Genomic DNA, 24,069 nt, shown 5'->3' on the forward strand with positions numbered 1-24,069 from the left:
ATTATGCCGACTGTGCTTATAGGGAGTCTAAGGTTCTGAATGGTAGATACTGTGGATTGCCTCATGCAATTCCCATCCCAGCCTACTTCCAGTATGCCTCCCTGAAGTCACAGTCTGCAAAGCTAAAAACACTTCCCAGAATCCATTAGAATAGAGCCCTAAATGATTTCTGTTCCACCATTCAGATAAATTCAGGCAAGGCTCAAGGCGTTTACTTTAATAGAGGGGAGTCCAGCAGAGGAGTGTGATTCCGGAGCTGGCATGACCATATACAGGCAGAAGTTCCTTAGATGACTCAGTCCAGTGGCATGGCTTTTGGGGGTGCTCTCAGAAGCACAAGCTAAAGTTTGTTTCTTTTACACTCCCTATGATATTATGAGCTATGTATGTCTCTTAATCTATCTCATTTTCTTAGACCAGGTAGAGAGGATTCTGTTTGTCTGCTACTAAGAAGGCTGGTCATTCTGGGAGGTAAAACCACTTTAATTAAATCATAGGCATCAACTGTAAAGGATCAAACCAGGTTGATGACTCTTACGTTAGTGCTCATTTTACTACTTTAGCCAACTTTAATCCAAATTAATTCATTAAGTCTGAGACATGATTACATTCTTCCTCTAATCCAGGAACTGTGCTAGGTACTAGGAACGTCGCTGAGTTAATATGCAGCTAAGTTACTTGCCCTCAAAGAGCTTTTAATCAATAGAAGGGACAAAACTAAAGCAAATAATAAATATAATATGTACAGTAGGAACATAGAGAAAGTAAATATATCAGGAATTAGTAGGGTGGAATTCTCAGGTGAGGGGGACAGAAAGGATAGATGGGGAGGAAGTAATTATGGCCAAAGGGAACAGCCCGCACGCACAGAGGCTCAGAGGGCATAACCGTTCATGGCAAGGTTGTTTTAATATTCAAATAAAAATCAACATGATTTTATTTCAAGATTGGGTGCCTTTAAAATTGTACATCACAACTGTTTCAACCACCTTGGCTCCATTTATTACAGCACATTCAAGCAATCAACATAGAAGCCATAGGCTACTAATTAGTCAAATAAATGCACATGGCTATAAAGCTTTTTGGATTATTTAATCACATTAGCATAAGCTGTCGTTCTCTTTAGAGGAACACCAGAAGCCATTGTGAGTTATAATTGTAAAGATACTATATTCAATCCACAGGTATTCCCTTTTTTTTTTTTTTTTTTTTTTTGAGATGGAGTCTTGCTTTGTCACCCAGGCTGGAGTGCAAAGGTGCGGTTTCAGCTCACTCCAACCTCTGCCTCCCAGGTTCAAGAGAGTCTCTTGCCTCAGCCTCCCGAGTAGCTGGGACTACAGGTGCATGCCACCACACCCAGCTAATTTTTGTATTTTTAGCAGAGATGGCGTTTCACTATGTTGGCTAGGCTGGTCTCGACCTCCTGACCTCGTGATCCGCCCACCTTGGCCTCCCAAGTCCACAGGTATTCTTGAGTACTTGCAATGTGCCATGTGTTGCTCTAGACTAGGAATGCAACAAAATCCTTGCCCTGGAGAAAATGACATTAGCTTTTTGTTTTATTTTTCTTAAAAGATTCATGGCCAGGCATGGTGGCTCACGCCTGTAATCCCAGCACTTTGGGAGGCCGAGGTAGGGGGATCACTTGAGGTCAGGAGATCAAAACCAGCCTGGCCACTTTGGTGAAACCCCATCTCTACTAATAAAAAAAAAAAAAAAGTAGCCATTCCTGGTGGCGCACACCTGTGATTCCAGCTGCTTGGGAGGCCGAGGAAGGAGAATCACCGAAACCCAGGAACTGGAGGTTGCACTGAGCCGAGATCATGCCACTGTACTCCAGCATGAGAAACAGAGTGAGACTCAGTCTCAAAAAAAAAAAAAAAAAAAATTCACTGACCACTAGTAGGAAGAAGAAAATGTTATAACTTCTCCTCCCCATGCCTTTGCAGAACTTTGGACACATATTATTCTAAATAACCCTTATTTCATTCCTGACCCTGAGGTCAACATTCCAACTGCTAACAGGCTTTCCGTGCTTCCTTCTCTACTCTCTTCCTTGCCTAGCCCTAACACTTAAGCATCTCTCAAAACTTTCTTTTGATTGGTTCCTCTCCCCTACTTTCTTATACTGATTTCTTGCTTAAGATCTCAAGAAAAGTCTGTAGCATGTTGTGATGAAATTAAAAAAGAAATGGGAGTCAGGAATTCTAGGTTTCTACAGCTGTGAGACAGTTATATCCCTATTCTGGGACCCCAAGACTCTAATCGGAAAATGAACTCACTGAGATAGATGACCTCCCAAATTCCTTCCAGTACTGACAATTTGAGTGCTTGTGCCTCTGTGGACCAGGGGAGCTTCTTTCAGATGCAGTTATAATTGTGTTTGCAGAGTATAATTGAGATGGAACATGAGCCATAAAACATTTGTTGTTTAAATTTGTTTACAACCAGAGGAAACTGAACTAAGGATAGAGCTTCTCCACTTCTGATCTAAGGAATTCAGGGGGAAAAATCAGACCAATGCTGGAAATTCCCACTATAGAAGCATCTGGAGATCAACTGGATGGAATAAATTGTATGCACAACCCCTATAGAATAAATAACTAAAAAATTGATTGCTATTCCTAGTGAAACATAAACGTAATTTTATAATTTGGCCAGCTGGTTTTTAACAGGCTTCCGTCATCATCTTGATATAGAATATTTTTTTCAAATCTAAAGCAGAATAACACAAGCTGAAATTAAATTACAATGCAGCCTGGACATCATGACTTCCAGGGACTGATGAGGGCAGAGAAGTAGTCAGAAAACCTGGTTCTGCATCTGGTTCTGCATCCTTACTTGTTGTATAATTCTAAGTAAGCCACTCAAAACTCTGAATTCATGCCAACCCTAGTCACAGGGCTGTTGTGAAGTTCAGTAGAGACCACAAAAGTGAGATAGAATTTTGCAGGCTGTAAAACACTGTACCTCTTTGGGGAATTCTTATTGTCTAAGAATCCAGAACATTCCTGTTTTATCTTGTGCTTAAGAGGGACTTCAATGCATGGGTCTTCTGTTGTTCCAGATATTGAGCTAAGGGCTTAAAATACATTTTGATTCTCAAACAGTCCTCCTATCCCCATTTTATAGATGAGGAAACTGAGATTCAGAAAGATGAAGTAACTTGTCTAGGTTCACCCAGCTAGTTAGTAAAAGCAGAGTCAAGACTCAAACTCAGATCCGACTGGCTAGCACAAGTAGAAGTTTGTCTTGTTTACGAATGCATATCCTTTTCAAGGTAGAGTCTCTTTTTCAGAATAAGACTTGAGGATTCGTTATTGGATTTCCAAGTGATAAAGGAGGCAAGAGCTATTATTTGTCTATGAATGGTCCAACTCTGTCATTTTCCCAGGCTGCACGTTTCCAGGATCTTCTCAATTCCTATAGAAAAGCACTGTGACTTCCTCCCAGGTCTCACAGGTGCTGGCCTTTCCAGATATCACACGGAGATTGCAGTATCGTGGCCCCTTAGGAGTACCCTACACATTTCCATGACTGGTCAGCCATATTGGTCTGAAGATATTCAGCTCCCTGGGTTATCACCATATTAGATATTTCCCATGGGCATAGATTTAGAAGAGAAAGCCTCTTGGTAAGTGAAAGGGGGCCAGAACATGCCATGCCAAAATCTGACACTTTGGCATATTGATTATTTTGAGATGAAGGCACTTGAGAAACAGCAGATGCAGGAAAGGCTCCCTGACCTCCCCCTTTCTACCTAAAAGTAGTTCATAAAATTTCCCATGAGAAAGGTGTCCTCCCTGTACCAGGAAGAGAAGGATATTCTTATCACCAGAGACTGGGAGTCAATGGACCTGTACAAACAAACCTACTAAAATAACCCTTATCTCCCATTAGTTTCCCCCATATATTTCCTAGTCACTGTCCCACAGTTTACTGCCCTGAGTCCCAGCCCCTTTGTCTTGTCAGATCCTGCAATTTATCGTTCTTTGTGTAAAAAGGCATATGAGCTTTTGGGCTTCGTGGCTTCTTCGGGTCTTTATTTCCCTTTTGAAGACTCCTGTGTACACATAAAAATATCGCATAAAATGTGTATGCCTTTTCCCTGTTAATCGGTCTTATGTCCATTTAATTCTTAAGCCCAGACACAGAACCTAGGAAGACAGAAGGAAGTTTTCATTCCCCTAGATAAGCATATGGAGAGGGTTAAGAGTATTCCAGCTGAATGACGAGATGCTAAGGAAAGCTGGGGCCCACATGGGCCAGCTTCCCCAGGCTGCCATCACACATCCCGGGGAGGATGCAAGCTACACCTCGTACCAGCCTCTGCCCTGGAGGCATTTACACTCAAGTAGTAGAGATAAGACAGATGTGCAATTGCTCTTTAATGAATGCAGCAGATTTCTGGGCCTGTAATGCATCTCATTTCTATATAAGTGAAGCCTTGCTATTAAAGGTGTGGCAAAGAAACAGAACGAAAGAAGCATTTTTTAAATAAACTGATAAACAACTACTTGTCTAGTCAGGAAATTCGTCTGACATTCATATTTATGCATGGCTTAAAATCCATGGCAAGGATTGACAGCTGTTTGAAGAATTCAGAATGGTGAATGTCCAACACCACTTCCCATTTGTACCACAAAAAATAGGAGACTGTAGCCACAGGGAAATACATCATTTACAACATCCATTATTGTTCTCTTTCTCAGAATGCTAGGAGTCTTTATAAGAAAGAGGAGAAAGGAAAAGAAAAATATAAGAAATCCTGTTTCTAGAATCACAGCATCATTCTCTATTGGAATGTTTGTAAGTGATATTATAAAATGCCTTGTGGCAACTTTTCACTTGGCAAATGAGAAAACTGAGGCTCAGGGAGAAGAGATGGCTTCCAAAAATTCCACAGCTAAACAGCCAGGGCTAGAGCATCCGGCCTGTTTGAATTCACTTGGCTTATAAATTAGTTTCTGTCGATCTGAAGAGAGGAACACTGATGAAGTAAAAAGAAGGAAGGAAGAAGGAGGGAAGAAGGAAGGAAGGAAGGCAGGAAAGCAGGAAGGCAGGAAGGAAGGGAGAGAGGGAGGGAGGGAGGGAGGCTACCCTCTTCTAGAGAATTCTCCAGGTAGCCAGGACCACAAAATTCTCTGCCCAACTGTCCTTGAGCTCACACACCACCAGTGTGTGAATCACCATGCCCAAGAGGAGACCAAAGTGGGGATGTGACCAGCGTGGGCTTAGCTAGGAAGCAGAGGCTGGGAGGTCCAAACATAGACATGAAATAGGACAAACCCAGAGATATGGGGAGAGCAGGGTTGGCCACTCATCAGAGTCTGGGAAACAAATCTTCTTGACAGCCATGTACTGATGCCAAAATCCAGAAAGTCCAGATTTTAGTTCAAATCTAAATTCTAACTTAGTTTTTCAGGTCATCATGAATGAGGGCATATTTCTCATGGTAAAAATATAGGACATATTGATTTAATAATGTGTTAGCTTGACTGCTAATGTTTAAATGTTAGGACATCTCGTAAGTGGGCCTCCATTTGTACTCTTACCTTGGACCCAATAGATGAAGCTTCAAGTTGTCTTCTGCCTCAAAATGCTTTCCTTGCTGTGAAGAAAGCATTGACTTTATGCTAGTTCTGGTGTTTTACTACCAAACCTGAAACCAGCCACAGTGGAGAGGAGGGGACCTGGTTGTTTCTTCTTATTCTTGGTGTCATCTCTCATGAGGAGAAAGCTCTGTTACTCTAATACTCCTAGGCTGTCTATCCTTTCACTCGATCCTGCCCAGGAGAGATGGAGTGAGTTCTCCAATATACTTCTTCCCCTTTGCTATTGGGATGAAGTTTCTTAAGAGGAACAGGAATCCTCCTCTTTCTTCCATGCATACATCTGTTACCTGTGACTGGATAGGTAATTCTGTTCAATAAACTACAGGCTAATATCTAAAAAATATAAATACAAAAATTTAAACAAATTGAATTCAGATATCAAAGTATATTGTATAGCCACAGTAAGATTTATTCTAGAAATGAAAGGATGGTTTGTGAAATGTATCAGTTATATTAGTAGGTCAAAGGAGAAAAATCACATGATTAACTTGATAGATGTTCATTTGATAAAAATCAAGATGAATAATTGATGAAGCTCTTTGTAAACTAGAGATAGAATGATACATCCATAACATGACACAGAAAATATTAAACCAACTATACCCAAAACATAAAACACTAAACAAGGCTTCCCAAGATATTTTCAGCTAAGCAAGAGCTCTGTGAATGTGCTGTCCACTACCTTCCCTCTCCCCATCTTACCTTTCTTCCCCAGATTTGGGGAAGATGTTTGGAATCCATGATGAAAAGAATTTAGAATGCCAGCCGTGGTGGCTCACACCTGTAATCCAAGCACTTTGGGAGGCTGAGGCAGGTGGATCACCTGAGGTCAGGAGTTCAAGACCAGCCTGGCCAACGTGCTGAAACCCTGTCTCTACTAAAAATACAAAAAAACTAGCCTGGCGTGGTGGCGCACGCCAGCAATCCCAGCTACTCGGGAGGCTGAGGCAGGAGAATCACTTGAACCCAGGAGGCAGAGATTGCAGTAAGCCAAGATGGCGCCATTGCACTCCAGCCTGGGCGACAAGAGCAAAACTCTATCTAAGGAAAGGAAAGGAAAGGAAAGGAGAGGAGAGGAGAGGAGAGGGAATTTAGAAAAAAAATGCATACTACATCCTTATTTTTTTAGTAAAATAACCCATTCGGAATGATGAAATGCAGTATAAAAAGTTTTGAAAATGACTACAGTGAATAAAATTTAAATCTTTAACCATAAACACTTTGACCATGGAAGCTTTTATCATTAATGTCCCCAGGAATGGACTACTATAGAGCACATTTTGTAAACTAATGTGTAGCATGTCATAGGGTCAAAAAGAAAGCAACCAAGCACATTATCCTACGATTTTTTTTTTTTTTTTTGAGACAGTCTCACTCTGTCTCCCAGGCTGGAGTGCAGTGGTACAATCACAGCTCACTGCAACATCCACCTCCCGGGTTCAAGGGATTCTTGTGCCTCAGCCTCCCAAGTAGCTGGGATTAATAGGCATGTGCCACCATGCCCAGCTAATTTTTGTATTTTTAGTACAGATAGGGTTTCGCCATGTTGGCCAGGTTGGTCTTGTACTCCTGGCCTCAAGAGAGCCACCTGCCTTGGGCTGCCCAAAGTGCTGGGATTATAGGTGTGAGCCACCAAGCCCAGATAATCCTACTATTATTTATACATTTCTAAATGAAACAAGAAAGAATAATAGAAATAAGTACTGAACATTAAGAAACAAATTATTGCTATTTGGAGATGATGTAATTGTCTATCTGGAAAACCAGGGAAGTCAGCTAGAAAAACTAACACAACTAATTACAATTAATGAGACAGTTCAGTAATACAGCCAGTCACAGAACAATATACAATAATATATAGCACTCCTGTAAGCCAGAAACAATCAGTAGTAGCATAAAAAATTTTAAATCATTACAGCAACAAAAATATGTTAATATCTAAGAATAGCCAAAACAAAAATAAACCATATACATAAAAAGAAAAACTATAGACCTTTACTGAAAAAAAACACAGAACAAGAGTTGAAAAAATTAGAAGACACAGCAGATTCCTCTTTTTGGAGAATCAAAACAAAAACATCAGCTAAGCTCAAATTATCTAATGGATTTAAAATGATCTCAATACAAATTTCTAAAGGATTTTTAAAAATGTGTCTAAAAGTATTTCAACATTTATCTTGAATAATAAATAAGACCAAATGTGTTTTATTAATTAAATAAAAGAGGTACCCTGCTAGATATTAAAATCTAATATAACTGTAATAATTAAAACATTGTGATCTGGTATTGGGTTAAACAAAAAACAAAGACCAGAAATAGAGCAGTAAACACTAAAACCAACCCAATTATAATTAAGAATTTAGTACAATCTCCAACATTTTTTAAGGCCAAAAAAAAGAATTCAGCAGTAAACAACAAAAAAGAATATATTCAATATAGTTTTGGGGCAATTGAATAATCGAAAATAAGAAATGTAAATCCTTTCTCCCCACACCTTTAAAATAAATTTTAGACAAATACAATATTTTAATTTAGAAATTAAAATATTTTTATATAAACTTCAAGTAAAAATGATTTTAAAGCAGGATACCAAAAGTAGAAATAATAAAGGAAACGATAAGTGGAAGTAGATTTAAAATTCAATGTATACCTTATCAGACATCTATTAAACATCTACTGTGTATCAGGCATTGTATAAGACCCTGGCCTCACCACGTTTGTACTCTAGTATACTTACTCTGGTAGACTATATTTTTGGCTGCTTTATATCTGGATATAGCCATGTGACTGAGTTTGGGCAATAAAATATGGAAGGAAGAGATGCAAGCTACTTCCAGGACTGGCTCCACTTAAAAACAACAACAACACAAACTTCCTCTCTCTTCCCTGTTTGCGGTAACCTTGGTGGCCACATACTGGTGGTGGTATCACATTGGTGGAAGAAGCCTTAACCTAGAGAAGCACCATATGGAAAAGGACCAGCTGGGAGAGCCTCCTAACCATGAAAATAGCGATGGAACTTTGCATGAGCAAAGAAGACGTATTTATGACATTAAGCCTTTGAGATTTGAGGCCGTTTATTACAGCACTTTGCTTTTCCTGACTAGTACAAAAATCATTACTGAAAATGGGATTGGCTTAGGAGGGAGTAGTGGTAGCAGTGAGGAAACATAACAGGCTGGAGGCTGGATATCATGTTATTCAGAAGCAAAACATTTGGAAAACCTGACATCTGAAGTGACTTAATAGGTAGTCCATGTGTCTACGGACCCTAGAGGAGAGAGAAAAGGTTAGAAAACAAAACACTAGATGTGGATGCTGGTTGTTATTTGCTGAATTTGGCAAGGTATTATGAGAAAGAGCTGCACTGAGGAAAGAAGTGGCTGGCTTATATACAAAAATAAAAGAGAACAGAAAGATTTCAGATATTTGCAGCAATGAGGAGTGAAAAAGCCAACTGCTTCTAGACCCCAAATAGGACAAGTCAGAATTTTTAACGGCTTTGAGTCACAAAACCCAGTAAAACTTCACAGAGGAATCAAGAGACTCCAGGCTATGTTTATAGTAAGGATGTATCCTTCTTGATATGGGTTGGCTGTGTCCCCACCCAAATCTCATCTTGAATTCCCACATGATGTGGGAGGGTCCCACTGAGAGGTAATTGAATTATGAGGGCAGGTCTTTCTTGCAATGTTCTCACGATAGTGAATGAGTTGCATGAGACATGATGGTTTCATAAGGGGGAAACTCATTTGGCTTGGCTCTCCTTCTCTCTTTGCCTGCTGCCATTCGTGTAAGATGTCACTTGCTCCTCCTTGCCTTCCACCATGATTGAAAGGCTTCCCCAGCCAAGTGGAACTGTAAGTCCAATTAAACCTCTTTCTTTTGTAAGTTGCCCAGTCTCAGGTATGTCTTTATCAGCAGCGTGAAAATGATTTGTACACTTCTCAAAGGTTGTTCTAGATACATTCAGGTAGATGCCTTTATTAATAGTGTGGTTTAAAGTGGGGAAGCAAAGAAACTGATAAAGAAATGAGGGGAGGGAGTGGTTGCTTAGCACATAGTACTGAATGAAACCAAAGAAATCAGAAGTCTTCCAAGTTTTAAAGGGAATTATGAATTGCTAAAGAAGCTAACATTAAGCAAAAAAACTGTTCAAGATATAGAACTTTGGCTTCAAGTTGCAGGAGTAAGAAGAGAGCAGAAGCCAGATGCAGTGGTTCACATCTGTAATCCCAGCATTTTGAGAGGCTGAGGTGGGTGGATCACCTGAGGTCAGGAGTTCAAGACCAGCCTGGCCAACATAGTGAAACCTCATCTCTACTAAAAATTACAAAAATTAGCTGGGCATGGTGGTAGGTTTCTGTAATCTCAGCTACTCGGGAGGCTGAGGCAGGAGAATTGCTGGAACCCAGGAGGCGGAGGTTGCAGTGAGCCAAGATCGTGCCACTGCACTCCAGCCTGGGTGACAAGAATGAAACTCCTTTTCAAAAAAAAAAAAAAAGAGAGAGAGAGCAGAAAAAGCTGTGTAGCTCCCAAAGAGAACCATTGCCTCTATACCCACTTCTCATATGGTCAAGGAGGATAAGAGAAAAGGAAGTCTACCAGAGAGAGGACCAAGGACCACAGAGTGCAAGGCTAGAGTAGCCTTTTCCAACCAGGTTCCCTTCCAGGGGAGAATTAAGTCCAAAGCATATCTTGTAAGTAACCAAATTAACTTTTCTCCCTATCTGTCTAGGATGGTTCTAGCTATATACCAAGCTTGGGAGAATTGGAAATAGTCACTGGGATCATTTTCTGCTTTATTTTCTCATGGAACCCCCATTAATAAAGGATTCCAGAGAGTTTCTTCCAGAAAACCAAATCTGTTTCTAATTAGAAAATTCCTCCACTTCCAAGACAGGAGACTTCAGGATTTCAACCTTGACATGCACCAGGAACAGCTATGTGGAAAGTCAACACTTTTGAATTATACTGATGGCTTTGAAAATTAAGTCAACATTTTTTGGGATAATTCAAAAGGTCTTTCAAAATACGCATCTCTTTTAATCCTGCAGTTCCACTTTTAGGATTTCATCTCAACAAAATAAGTTTGTGTATTTGCAAAGAAATTCACTGAAATGTTAGTCATGGAGCAAGTTTCTTATGTGTAGATTTGGGTATGCAAGAAATATCAACATACTTTATAAGCTTAAATCAAACTAAATATAACAGCCTCCCCACACAATCCTACCAAGAAGGTGAGAAATCAGTCTTGGCCCTTTTTGAAACCTCCTCTCTCTTCCTGGGGTCTCTGGTGGGCACTGATGATTTCCTTGTCCAAGCTGGCATGGTCTCTTGGAGGCAATGCACCTTGCCTTCTCTGCCTTGCTTGGAGACAGGATTATTTGCCAACACCAAGAGGCTACTGCCCAAGGTCACCCCTCCGCAGCTGTTCCTGGTGAGGTCCTGCCACCCCCGGGGGCCCTGTCAGGCCCAGACTCACATCCTTCTACTCTCTCTGCTTCCTTTGATGACTCCAAAACTCCTCTTTCAGACAAAGCCCCTTTGTACTTGCTCTTTGCATGATCCCCTCAATAAACTGAGACTTACTCAAACAAAAGCCAGGAAGAATGTCTTCATGCCCCTGCAGCAAAGAAAGTGTTAAAAGGAGGGAAAGTCAAAATGGGGGAGAATGGAACTCAAAGACCTCTTTTCCTTTCATATCCTTCCACAGAGACAAAAATAAAATAGAAAATCATCTTTGTAAATTGTTCTGCACTTTTATGAGAGCGAAGCTATCAGCAATAAACTAAATTATTTGCAATGTAAGGGTTTTAAATTTATTACAAATTATCCAATGTAAGGCATACCATGCAGCTGTAGAGCATACAACTCTACATACACACACACACACACACACACACACACACACACAAAAGCATTTGCCAAGTGATGTGGAGGGGCAACACCCACCCTTTGCCCCTTATTGGAGACTTCTCTCTCTTCTTGGGGTCTCTGGTCCAAGGAATCCAAGAAGCTTACATTGAGGCCAATCTGATGGGCACTCATGGCTTCCTTTTCCAAGCCGGCATGGTCTTGGAAGCAATGAATCTTGCCTTCTTTGCCTTGCTTGGGGACAGGAATATTTGCCAACACTAAGAACCTACTCCCCAAGGTCAGCCCTCAGCAGCTATTCCCAGTGAGGTCAGGAACTAAACATAATGTAGACTATTTAATAACAGGAAAACAACAGAAAAAAGGTAGGAAAGGTAAGAAACAGATGACAAGAAGTATTTAAATATGTTGCCACTTTTATAAACCCAAAGTTTATAGAATAGAAGGGAAACTATAGTGTGCATATATACACATCTATAAGCCTATGCATGCATGTACAAGATATGCAAAGACACCCTGCATAGCACTACACCACATGGTGGAATTACATATTTTTTTCTTTTCACTTTCATCTACGTAATGAAATTTTATAATGACATATTTTACTTTCATGATCAGGTTTGTATACAGAACCCAGAACCCATTTCCCCCCGCTGCCACCCGCGCCCTGCCTCTGTCCTGCTTAGCTTAGGGCTCTGGCAGCTGCTAACTCAGACTTTGGAAAAGCAGAGCCCAAGTCATGTGAATTATAATTGAAAACATTCTTCAAGGGCTTTGAAAGCACTGTTGGTTGTTCATATTGTGCTGAGGATGGGCCTGAGTCTGGGCTTCACAGGGACCCAAGGGAAGGCAGGGAGGGAGCAAGGTTCCTGTCAGATCTAGAGGACCAGGGAAGGAAAGGAAGGGAAAAGACTGAGGAGCAGAGAGGAGGGGGAGGTGGGCAGCAGGATGAAGAAGGAGGGGCCAGGCACTTCCTGACTGTCTTTTTTAAAGAGGAAGCAAAATATTAGGTTGATGCAAAAGCAATTGCTGTTGCATCAACTTAATATATGGAAAAGGCACAGGCTTGGATCCTTGCCTGTTGAATGTAAATAATGCCTGATTCATGATGTGGTGCTGAGTATTTTACAAGAGTGTAATTTTGGAGTCTAGTATTTACCCTGCCCCAAAATTCATCTTACTGTGCATGAACCTGTGGTTACCAAAGTGGCATCAATGAATCCTTATGGCCAAACCAAATTAAAGGTTTCTGAAGTATGGTCTAAGAAAATGAATGCTACGAAGGAGCCCTGGGGCCAACATGGGCTTGCTGCTGACAAGCCCTGGGGCTTCGGGTAAGATTCAGCCTCCTGGCACCACTGTTCTTCCCTGAAATGAGAAGCCGAGGCCAGGCTGGCCCAGGGATTGTCAGGGCCAGCTGTAGGAACCCATGTTCCAAAACCTCCAGAGACCCCCACGGGACCTCGTGTGTGTGTGTGTGTGTGTGTGTGTGTGTGTGTGTGTGTGTGTGTGTCTACAGCTGAAATATGGTTTGCAAACTATGGCACTTGATGACTTTTGCATTCCCTTTCTCAACTGTCGTTTGGTGGTTTTTTAAATTGATATAGAAGCAAGGAGTGATTCAGTACCAACGCTGGAAGAACACCTAAAGCAAGACAGCAGCACAGCACAGGTTCCTGTCCCAGGTCAGCCTCAGCCGCTCCACTAATTATGTCTCCTTAGACAGATAATTTTAGGCGTTAAACATGGATTCATAAGAAGGAAGAGAGAAATAAACAAAGAGAAAGGGAGATTGAGAAGGACCGAGAAGAGAGCAGAAGGGAGGGAGAAGGGAGAGCGCCTGTGATCTTTGGCATTGACAGAACACGGGCTGGTGGTATTATGACTTCCACGGGCCCTGGGTGCTTTTAACTTCATGGGCTTCTTCCTCCATAAAGCAATATTAAATATTCTATTTTATAAGTGCACTGATATAAAGAAAAATATACTCCAGCTCTGATTATATTCATTTTCTTTCTGCTAATTTTAGAAGAAATTAAGGCATTTCCAGGGGCTCCTAAAAGTACAGAGAGCCCTGGGCATTGGGCCTGCTGTGCTTGGTGGGGAAGTCGGCCCTGAGTACCCCCTGTCTTGGCCCCTTATCCACCTTCAGCTCATTCTGGGATGGACTTGTCCCTATCCTGACCCCAAGCTTGAGGCAAATGTCTTAAAAGAGGGATCTAGTTTTAAAATGCCCAGAAGACAGAAAGTTCAACACAATGTTCTGTAGGAATTTCTGTGGATCTCTGGGAGAAAATGATCCTAAAAATGATAAATACATTCGAATTAACAAACTCTCTCCCTCCTCTTCCCCTCTAAATCCCTTCACAACTGTGAGGAAAAAAGTAGACAAATAAACAAATAACAGTTTGGAAGAAATTAACAGATCATTATGGTATGATTTTACTCGGTTTCTGCAAAGTGCAGTTGGCATTCTTTCTAGTGTAACAGGCAATTAAGTCCACAGTGGAGACAAGAGGCAGAGGCTCATTATAAAAATAAACCTGTGACCAGAGCACCAAAAGGGAAGAGGCAGGGCTGCATATCATCACAGTTGGGGCTTTTTTAAAATAACTTGAGCTCAGTCCAAGTGTTTAACACACAAAGTGAGCCAGAGGCCTCAGAAGGCCCCCATTTGAGGACAGGAGTTAACTATGGGAGATCAAAGTAAAAAGGAGAAATGCAGCAGGAGAAAGACAAAGAAAGAGAGGCAAAGGGGCTGTCGGGTTCCCTGCCATGCTGAATGTCAGGGTGAAATAGGGAACTCAGGCACCATATTTGCACAGTACCACCAAAGAAGAGAGTATGAACAATCTTTTGAAGACAGTTGGCACTGGGTGGGTGGGCAGCTTCCATGCTTGCATTTGGAAGGCAGAACACTGCCAAAGAGGTGAAGGGCATTGGCTTGGCAGGGCCCTTGGACAGGCAGGCTTTCAACATTATCACGAGGTTGCTGGGTGACCTGGGTTCACCTCTGCTCACTGAAACTCTGTTTCTTCGTCTGTAAAATGGGGATAATTCCGTTACCTGCCTCTCAGGGTTGTGAAGATTAAATGAGAGCACGCATATGCACTACCCGGTTTAGAATAGGAATTCACTAAGAGGTTGCCATCATTATCATCATTCATAATATTATTATCATCAGTATTTACAGACATAGCCAGCTCTAGCAGGGATACTATGGAGAAGTGGTATGGCAGAGACTTAACTTTTGGTGCTGAGGGCCCTCACTTACAAAGGCGTATTTAAGATTTGGGGGACTGGAGAATAGGACTGGGGAGGAGCCATTAAGATTTATTAATTGTGCTCTTGCTCTCTCTCTCTCTCTCTCACATACACACACACACACACACACACACACACACACACACACACTCTTAAACTACTTCACACAAGTTCCTCATTGCTTGTTGCAGTGAGGTCAGGAGATGAAGCCTCACGTATTAATAACATATTTCTGGATATCACCAGCAAGTGCCAGCTCTCTCTGTCCTCTAAACCTGTCAAACTCTAGCAGGATCCAACGCTTTCTGCACTGACAGCTTGCCACCCTCTGAATCCCACACCCTTCCCTCATTCCCTACAGTCTTCTAGCCACCTCTGAGCTCTCCAAGTGAGAGAGTCTATGACACCAAAGAGTAAACAAAGAAAACAAAGACCTGGCTCCGCTGAGGGGAGAGGCACAGGGCTGGGTAGGATAAGGGATGCTAGAAACAATTCCCAGGACCCCTGCTGACCCAGCCCAGGGCTGACCCAGCCCAGGGGCAGCCCATCCCCAAAAGGAAGCCCTGAAAAATAAGGTGCTGCTGGCCTCCCTCCTTCCTGACCTCCTTCTGTCCCAACTTTCTTTTTGTTGTTGTTGTTTTTTGTTTTTTGTTTGTTTGTTTTTTAGACAGAGTTTTGCTCTTTTGCCCAGGCCCAAGTGAAGTGGCATGATCTCGGCTCACAGAAACCTTCGCCCCTTGGGTTCCAGTGAGTCTCCTGCCTCAGTCTCCCAAGTAGCTGGGATTATAGGCACCCACCATCATGCCCAGCTAATTTTTGTATTTTTAGTAGAGACAGGGTTTCACCATGTTGGCCAGGCTGGTCTCGAACTCCACCCGCCTCGGCCTCCTAAAGTGGTAGGATTACAGGCGGGAGCCACCACGCCCAGCCTCTGTCCCAACTTTCACTGAGCCTCTGCCATCACATCAGACTTGTCTCCTAACTGCTGAGCTATGAGGGTTCATGAAAGTTTCTAACTGTATGTTTAACTTTTTCTGAGAAAAAAAAAAGAGCAAATTCTTATTTCCTTTTTCTAAAGTTAGCCAACTTTTTACTTTTCCCTTCATCACCTGTCCAGCTCTAGCCCTGAATCCTGCATTTCCACATGCTATTCATTGTGAGGCTCATGCTAAAATCAACAGCCAGAGCTGACTACATGCTTACTATGTGCTAGGCGACGTGCTATGCATTTTATATGCATTATCTTTATTATCTCATTTACATATGTTGGAAGCAAAGCTCAGAGAGGTTAAGTTACTTATGCGAAGCCACACGGAAGAAATTAAGCAGAACTCAAAGCTGTCTGACTCCAGCGTTCATGCTTGGAACACTAACTACCCTCTACTAGTTCATTAGAGGCAACTGGGTAAAAGTGGAACTAGGTGTGCCCGTGATAAAGCCTGTGATTAAGTAGTTAAAATGAGGATGGATTCCGGTAAGCCAAACGTACACATAAGGTTTACGGCACTACAGCCTCTGAGAACTAGACAAGTAACAGGCTAGAACTGACACCTGGTGAAGGTGGAAGAGGGTTGGCAGGCTTAACTCTGAGTTTAGCTTGATGAAGCAGGAACAGGATAAAGTCTTGAGTCTGAAAGTAAACAAATTCTCAGCTACATAAACTCTATGGCATTGAATAAAGGTCAGTGGGTTTGAATAAAACCCAAGATATGGATAAAACTTTGAGAATAATCAGAATAATCCAATAAACAGTTCTGGGGAGAGCATCTGAAGTGAGAAGTAGCCCGGATATACAGTAAGTCTGGGGTCCACATGAAGCCCAGAATGTGTCTGAAACCCAGAGACTGGTGAGAGTAAGTAAAACCTGAACACTAATGAAGTCTGGGGCTCGGGTGCTGGCTGAAGTGTATGCTCCACTAGGAATCTGCTCTTCTCTGTGAGGCACTGCTGAAGAGCATTCCTAAAGGACCATGGTCCCCACCAACCAGGAGCCTCCACTGTCCCTCTTTCCTTTCCTGTGGGTGGCACTGCCTTAGGCTAAATCCTCTTCTCTCCTAGAGGCACGAACAAACACTCAGTTCCTTTGACACTTTCCCAGAATGGGACAAGAGAACCCAGTCCATATGCTTGAGGCCACTCATCCTTCCACTTTCTCCCAAGATTCCCACCAGTCCCAAAGAAGTTTTTCTTTTATCTTCTTCTGGGACATAACTGGAAGGAGCCCTTGCCTCAGTGTCCCTGACTTTCAGCCTTTATATAGGAGGACAAAGCTGACCCCAGGTCTCCCAGCTCCATGAGCTTGCAGTTTCCTCCAGGGTCTTGACTCAAACCTCTAATGATGCAGCCTTCTGGAGGGAGGGCCTCCCTTTGCCCAGCATCTGAAAGTGATCAGACAGGGCTTCCCCTAGGTATCTCAGGACAGACAAGCAGCTCTCCTGGCCAGACTGGATTAATACAGTCCCTGAGTGGCTTCAGTCTTCTGGGCCCCACTGGAAGTCAGAGCCTGGGCTCTGGGCCCTGGCTCTGCCCCACAGGTCAGAATCTCACCCTCTGTCCTGTTTTCCATCTCCACCACCAGGGAGTTCCAGGAGATGAGCATGGCCCAAGCTGTTTCACAGACCGCCAGGGGCCCAGGGAGTTCCCAGGATCTCAGTGAGTTCTACTACTAACAGTTTTCTGTATTGGTTTTTACTGCCTGCAGTTTCATTCGAAGAAAGATCTCCACTGTGTTAAAGGGTTTGCGAACCACTGGGCCATATGGTCACTCAAATCCCTTCCAGCTGTGGCCTCCCATCATTCTATGACAAGTCCCTTCAATCAGTCATTCCCGGCACCAGATGTGGGGGGCCCTGCTGGAGCAGGCCAACTCATATTGATTTTCTTCTGGCCCCCAGCCAGGAACTGGCACGGCCTCTGCTCCATGGCACTCCAGGGACCAGCCCCAAGGGAGGCTCTGGTTAGCTCTCTGGCTGATGGACGACAGCTGGCCAAATGCTGGCAGCAATTTCACGGACCTAAAGACTCACTCTCTCCCCTCCTCCATCCAGTAAGATCCTAGTCCTGTCATTGGGCCATGAAGCTTCGGCCAGCTTCCTAATGGCCTTTGGAGCCTCAGGAAGGTTAAAGAAGACAGACACAGCCAGAGGCTGGGACGGCCAGAAATAGCCACTGTGCCCTTTGGAGGGAGAGGTGAGCCTGGGCCAGCAGGCAGCCTCATGAAGCAGGCACAGCTTCAGGAAACCCTGCCCTATGACCAGCTTCACTCTGCGTTGTCCAGCCAGTGTCAGGCTAGAAGCCTGGCTGAGGACAGGAACCCCTGCCAGTGGCCTCTTCCTTGTGTGGAAGCCAGGCCAACACTGAGAATCCCATTGAGCCTGCTCACCTGCTTGGCCTCAATCAGACCCGCATTTAGAATTTGAATCTTGGTTCTCCGACTTATTAGGTAGAAGAGCATGAAAAGTTGTTTTGCCTTTCTGAGCTTCAGTTCCCGCATCTATAAAATGGAGGTAATAACATCTATTTAGCTGGGTTGCTTGAGAAGCAAAACCTAATGCCTGCATATAGTACTGGTTTTTTTATTATTACAATTGTTTGATGAGATGTGTGCATTTTAGCCCATTTGGGCTGCTATAACAAACTCCCATAGACTGGGTGGCTTATTTCAGGGAAATTCAAGATTAAGATACTAGAAGATTTGGTGTCAGGTGAGAGGTCACTCTCTGCTTCATAGAAGGCATCTTTTTGCTGCGTCCTCACATAGATGAAGGGGCAAACAAGCTCCCCTGGGCCTCTTTTATAAGAGCCCTAATCTCATTCATGAAGGTGGAACCTTCCCAAAAGCCCCACCTGTTAACACCAGCATAGTGGGGAGTAGCTTTCAGCACATGAATTTTGGGAGATACTAACAGACCCCAGTAGTGTGCCTCTGATGCTCTTAAAACTGAAAAATCTCTTCCTAAGTGCATTCCTTGGAAGAATCTATAATATAAGCATTTATCACAGAGTTCAGATGACCTCCCCGCCAAGCCCGTCTCCAGTCCCACCTTTTCTACTTACAAGTTGAATGACCTTCACTGAGTCTCTAAAGTAAAGGGGCTCGACTAAGTCAGTAGTTCTCAAACATTAGCATGTGTCAGCTTCAAAACATCAATTTCTGGAGGTAGAGCCATTGGCAAATGATTAGGTCATGAGGGTGGAACCCTCATAAAGGAGGCCTAAGGGAACTCATTCATACCATCTGCCACGTGAGAACACAGCGAGAAGTGCCATCTATGAGCCAGAAAGTGAGTCCTCACCAGACACCAAATCTCCTAGCACTTTGATCTTGGACTTCCCAGCTTCCAGAACTGTAAGAAATAAATTTTTGTTGTATCTAAGCTGCCCAGTTTATGGTATTTTATTACAGTAGTCCAGACAGACGAAGTTTAGCATTTTGCAAGCTGGAGACTTAGGATGGGTGGTGATATGTTTCCAAGGCCTAGAAAGAAAGTCCCTGGTGTAGATTAGGTCTTCAGACCTGAGAACCAGGAGCTCTGAGAGCTGAAGAAGGTTAATGTCCTGCCTCAGTAGTCAGGCATGGAATAAATTCAACTTTTCTCTGCCTTTTTGTCCTATTCAGGCCCACAGCCAATTGAATTATATCTATTCACATAGAGGAGTCCCATCTGCTTTTTACTCAGTCCACCAATCCAAATGCTAATCTCTTCTGGAAACACCCTTGAGACACACCCAGGAATAATGTGCAATAAACTCTCTGGGCATCCCATAGACCAATCAAGTTGTCAGGTAAGATTAACCAACACTGTGACCTTGAGAAAAATGACTTATCCTCTCACCAGTTTTCTCATTTATAAAATGAGGTAATCACAATACCATACCTTATGTAATTTGATGTGGAAACTGGGGTTCACATCCTTAATCCCTCACAACAGAACATCCATTTTGTGCCCAGCCACAAGATGTGGATCATCACTAGCCAAAGCCAGTTACATTCCTCTTTTGTCAGAAACTGTTGCCGGGGTAGGGGGGTGAGTGTTGTGATATAAATTGGTTTCCATCCACAGTTCCTGGCTTTTAACTCCCATCACCCGAGATAGTTTTTTGTTATAATGTTGAATGTGTTCAGTCTCAGAAAATAGAATCTCCTGCCCTCCTTTCACCTTCCCCAAGGCAAAACTCTCATCTTTCCCCATCTTTCTGATTGTGAGTCTTAAGATCTTCCCCAGGGAGGTCCCCACTCCAAACCCTGGAGTAAGGAATGCTGACATCATGAAGCTTCCATAAAACCCAAAAGGTTTGGGTTCCTGGAGCTTCCGAATCCCATGGAGGTTCCAGGAGAATGGTGCATACAGGGAGGGCATGGGAGCTCCATGACACTTCCCCATAGCTCACCCTATGCATCTCTTCATCTGTAACCTTTGCAACATTCCTTATAATAATCCACTAGACATGTTTCCTTGAGTTCTGTGAGCCACTCCAGCAAATTAGTGGTACACAAATGACATGGTTTGGCTGTGTCCCCACCCAAATCTCATCTTGAATTGTAATCCAAATAATCTCCATGTGTCTTGGGAGGGACCTGGTGGGAGGTAATTGAATCATGGGAGCAGTTTCCCCCATGCTGTTCTTGTGATGTGAGTTCTCAGGAGATCTGATGGTTTTATAAGCATCTGGCATTTCCCCTGTTGGTACTCATTCTCTCTCCTGCTGCCTTGTGTAGAAGCGCCTTCCACCATGATTGTAAGTTTCCTGAGGCCTCCCCAGCCATGTGGAACTAAGAGTTAATTAAACCTCTTTTCTTTATAAATTACCCAGTCTTGGGTATGTCCTTATAGCAATGTGAGAACAGACTAATACCAAGGTAGTGGAGCACTGCCATAAAGACACCCAAAAATGTAGAAGTGACTTTGGAACTGTGTAACAGGCTGAGGTTGGAACAGTTTGGAGGGCTCAGAAGAAGGCAGAATGATATGGGAAAGTTTGGAACTTCCTAGAGACTTGTTGAACAGTTTTGACCAAAATGCTGATAGTGATATGAACAATGAAGTCCAGGCTGAGGTAGTCTCAGATGGAGATAAGGAACTTCTTGGGAAATGGAGCAAAGGTAACTCTTGCTATGCTTTAGCAAAGAGACTGGTGACATTTTGCCCCTGCCCTAAAGATCTGTGGAACTTTAAACTTGAGAGAGATGATTTAGGATTTCTGGCAGAAGAAATTTCTAAGCAGCAAAGTGTTCAGAGGAAGCAGAACATAAACGTTTGGGAAGTTTGGCTGGGCATGGTGGCTCATGCCTGTAATCCCAGGAGTTTGGGAGGCCAAGGCGGGTGGATCACCTGAGGTCAGGAGTTCAAGACCAGCCTGGCCAACATGGTGAAACCCCATCTCTACAAAAACACAAAAATTAGTCAGGCATGATGGTGCATGCCTATAACCCCAGCTACTTGGAAGGCTGAGGTGGGAGAATTGCTTAAACCCAAGAGGCAGAGGTTGCAGTGAACTGAGGTCATGCCATTGCACTCCAGCCTGGGTGACAGAGTGAGACTCCATCTCAAAAAAAAAAAAAAAATGTTTGGATAGTTTGCAGCCTAATGATGCAATAGAAAAGAAATACGCATTTTCTGGGGAGAAATTCAAGCCTGCTCCAGAAATTTGCATAAGTAACAAGGTGCCAAATGTTAATCACCAAGACAATAGGGAAAATGTCTCCAGGACATGTCAGAGACGTTCACAGCAGCCCCTCCCATCAGAGGACCAGAGGCCTAGAAGGGAAAAATGGTTTCTGGGCCCTGCATCTCAGTTGCTTTAGTCCCAGCCATGGCTAAAAGAAGCCAACCTATAGCTCAAGCTGTTGCTTCAGAGGGTACAAGCCCCAAGCCTTGGTAGCTTACATGTGGTGTTGGGCCTGCAGGTGCAAAGAAGTCAAGAATTGAGGTTTGGGAACCTCTGCCTAGATTTCAGAGGATGTATGGAAGTGCCTGGATGTCCAGGCAGAAGTTTTCTGCAGGGGTGGAGCCCTCATGGAGAACTTCAGCTAGGGCAGTGCAGAAGGGAAATGTGGGGTCAGAGCCCCTACACAGAGTCCCCAGTAGGGCACTGCCTAGCGGAGCTGAGAGAAGAGGGCCACCATCCTCCAGACCCCATAATGGTAGATCCACAGACAGCTTGCACTAGGCACCTGAAAAGGCTGCAGACACTCAATGCCAGCCCATGAAAGCAGCCAGGATGGGGGCTGTACCTTGCAAAGCCACAGAGGCAGAGCTGCCCAAGGCCGTGGGAGCCCACCTCTTGCATCAGCATGACCTGGATTTAAGACATGGAATCAAAGGAAGTCATTTTGGAACTTTAAGGTTTAATGACTGCCCTATTGCATTTTGGACTTGCATGGGGCCTGTACTCATTTGTTTTGGCCAATTTCTCCCATTGGAATGGGTGTATTTACCCAATGCCTATAGCCCTATTATGTCTAGGAAGTAACTGACTTACTTTCAATTTTACAGGCTCATAGGCAGAAGAGATTTGCCTTGTCTCAGATGAGACTTTGGACTTGGACTTTTGGGTTAATGCTGGAATGAATTAAGACTTTGGGGACTTATGGGGAGGCATGATTGCTTTTGAAATATGAGTACATGAGATTTAGGAGGGTCCAGGGGCAGAATATGATTAGGCTCTGTGTCCCCACCCAAATCTCATCTTGAATTGTAATCCCCATAATCCCCACGTGTCAAGGGTGGAACAGGTGGAGATAACTGAATTATGAGGACTGTTGCACCCATGCTGTTCTCATGATAGCGAGTGTGTTCTCATGAGCTCTGATGGTTTTATAAGAGGCTTCCCCCTTCACTTGGCACTCACTCTGTCCTGCCACCCTCTGAAGAAGGTAACTGCTTCTCCTTTGCCTTCTGCCATGATTGTAAATTTTCTGAGGCCTCCCCAGCCGTGCTGAACTGTGAGTCAATTAAACTTATTTCTTTTATAAATTACCCAGTCTGGGGCAGTTCTTTATAGCAGCATGAGAATGGACTAATACACAAAGAAAGGGTCTTGGGAACCCCAAGTTGAAGTTGATGGGTCAGAAGTTCTGGAGGCCTGGACTTGTGACTGGTGTCAGGTGGGCAGGGGACAGTCTTGGGGACTGAGCCCTCAAGCTCTGGGATCTGATGCTATGTCCAGGTAGATAGTGTTGGAATTGAATTGGAGGATACCCAGCTGGTGCCCGCTATTTGATGTGTGAAGGGAAAAACCCTGCACCTTTGGACACAGAAGTCCTCTTCTGTGTTGACAATTGTTGTGGTGGTGTGAGAGCAGAAAAAAAATATGGTTTGAGAGAGATTTTCCCTACACAAGTCCCTCCCCATTGTTTCAAGTCCCTTCCCATTGTTGCAAGTCCCTCCCCATGGTTGCAAGTCCCTCCCCATGGTTGCAAGTCCCTCTCTATTGTTTCAAGTCCCTCCACATTGTTGCAGGTCCCTCCCCATTTTTGCACTCCCTCCCCATTTTTTCAAGTCCTTCCTCATTGTTGCAAATCCCTCCCCCTCTTGCTGAAGTGACTTCCAGGGGGATTGAAAAGGTTGGTGCTTTTTTTTCCCCTTTATTTTCATCTTTTTCTACTTTGAGGAGCTAGACATTACAGACTAGGGCATTCAAAATCAGTTGCATAAACAGGAGAAGTTAGAAAATTACTGCACATGCCCAGGAAAAGGCATCAGCTCAGAAAAGACCTGAGAGGGTGTTACGTTTACACCTGAGGCTGATTCTTGGCACAGGGACAGCCTAAAACATTTTTAAGCAAAACAAAAGTAAAAAACAGCAAACCCTTGGGGAGGCAGAGAATCTGACTTCCAGAGTTACCACATTATTACATTCAAATTTTTCAACAACAACAAAATCACAAGGCATACAGAGAAACAGGAAAGTATGGCCTGCTAAAAGGAGAAAAACAAACCAACAGAAACTATGTCAACGAAGAAACAGATAACAGACCTGCTAGACAAAGACATTTAAACAACTGTCTTCAAGATGCTCAAAGAACTAAAAAAAAAAGTAGAAGTCCAAAAATGCTGTACAAACAAAACAGAACTATTAATAAAGAGATAGGAAATCCAAAAACAAATTATAGAACTATAAAGTACCATAATTGAAATAAAAAATTCACTAGAGGGAGTCAAAGACTGATCTGAGAAGGAAGAAGTAAAAATCGGTGAAATTGAAGATAGGACAACTGAAATTATTGAGTCTGAGAAAAAGAAAGAAAAAAGCATGAAGAAATGTGAACAGAGCCTAAAGGACCTGTAGAATGCAATAAAGCAGACCAACA

At 43.2% G+C, this 24,069-nt stretch overlaps 1 long non-coding RNA gene across 6 annotated transcripts in view; it reads right to left on the reverse strand.

Annotated features, from left to right (window-relative positions):
• The window catches only part of LINC01418 (long intergenic non-protein coding RNA 1418), a 107,448-nt gene that overhangs the window by 37,462 nt on the left and 45,917 nt on the right, over positions 1-24,069 (reverse strand). For 4 of the 6 annotated variants that reach the window (XR_932527.3, XR_001751642.2, XR_001751641.2 and 1 more), the window contains one exon: positions 8,203-18,249. The exons of 1 other annotated variant lie outside the window; for it this stretch is intronic. This is a non-coding gene — a long non-coding RNA (long intergenic non-protein coding RNA 1418). Of the gene's footprint in view, positions 1-8,202; positions 18,250-24,069 lie in introns of those variants that run through there. One more of the 6 variants, XR_001751639.2, reaches the window with a different exon arrangement.

The sequence above is a fragment of the Homo sapiens genome, chromosome 15 (genome assembly GCF_000001405.40).
Source record: "Homo sapiens chromosome 15, GRCh38.p14 Primary Assembly".
Taxonomy (NCBI): domain Eukaryota; kingdom Metazoa; phylum Chordata; class Mammalia; order Primates; family Hominidae; genus Homo; species Homo sapiens.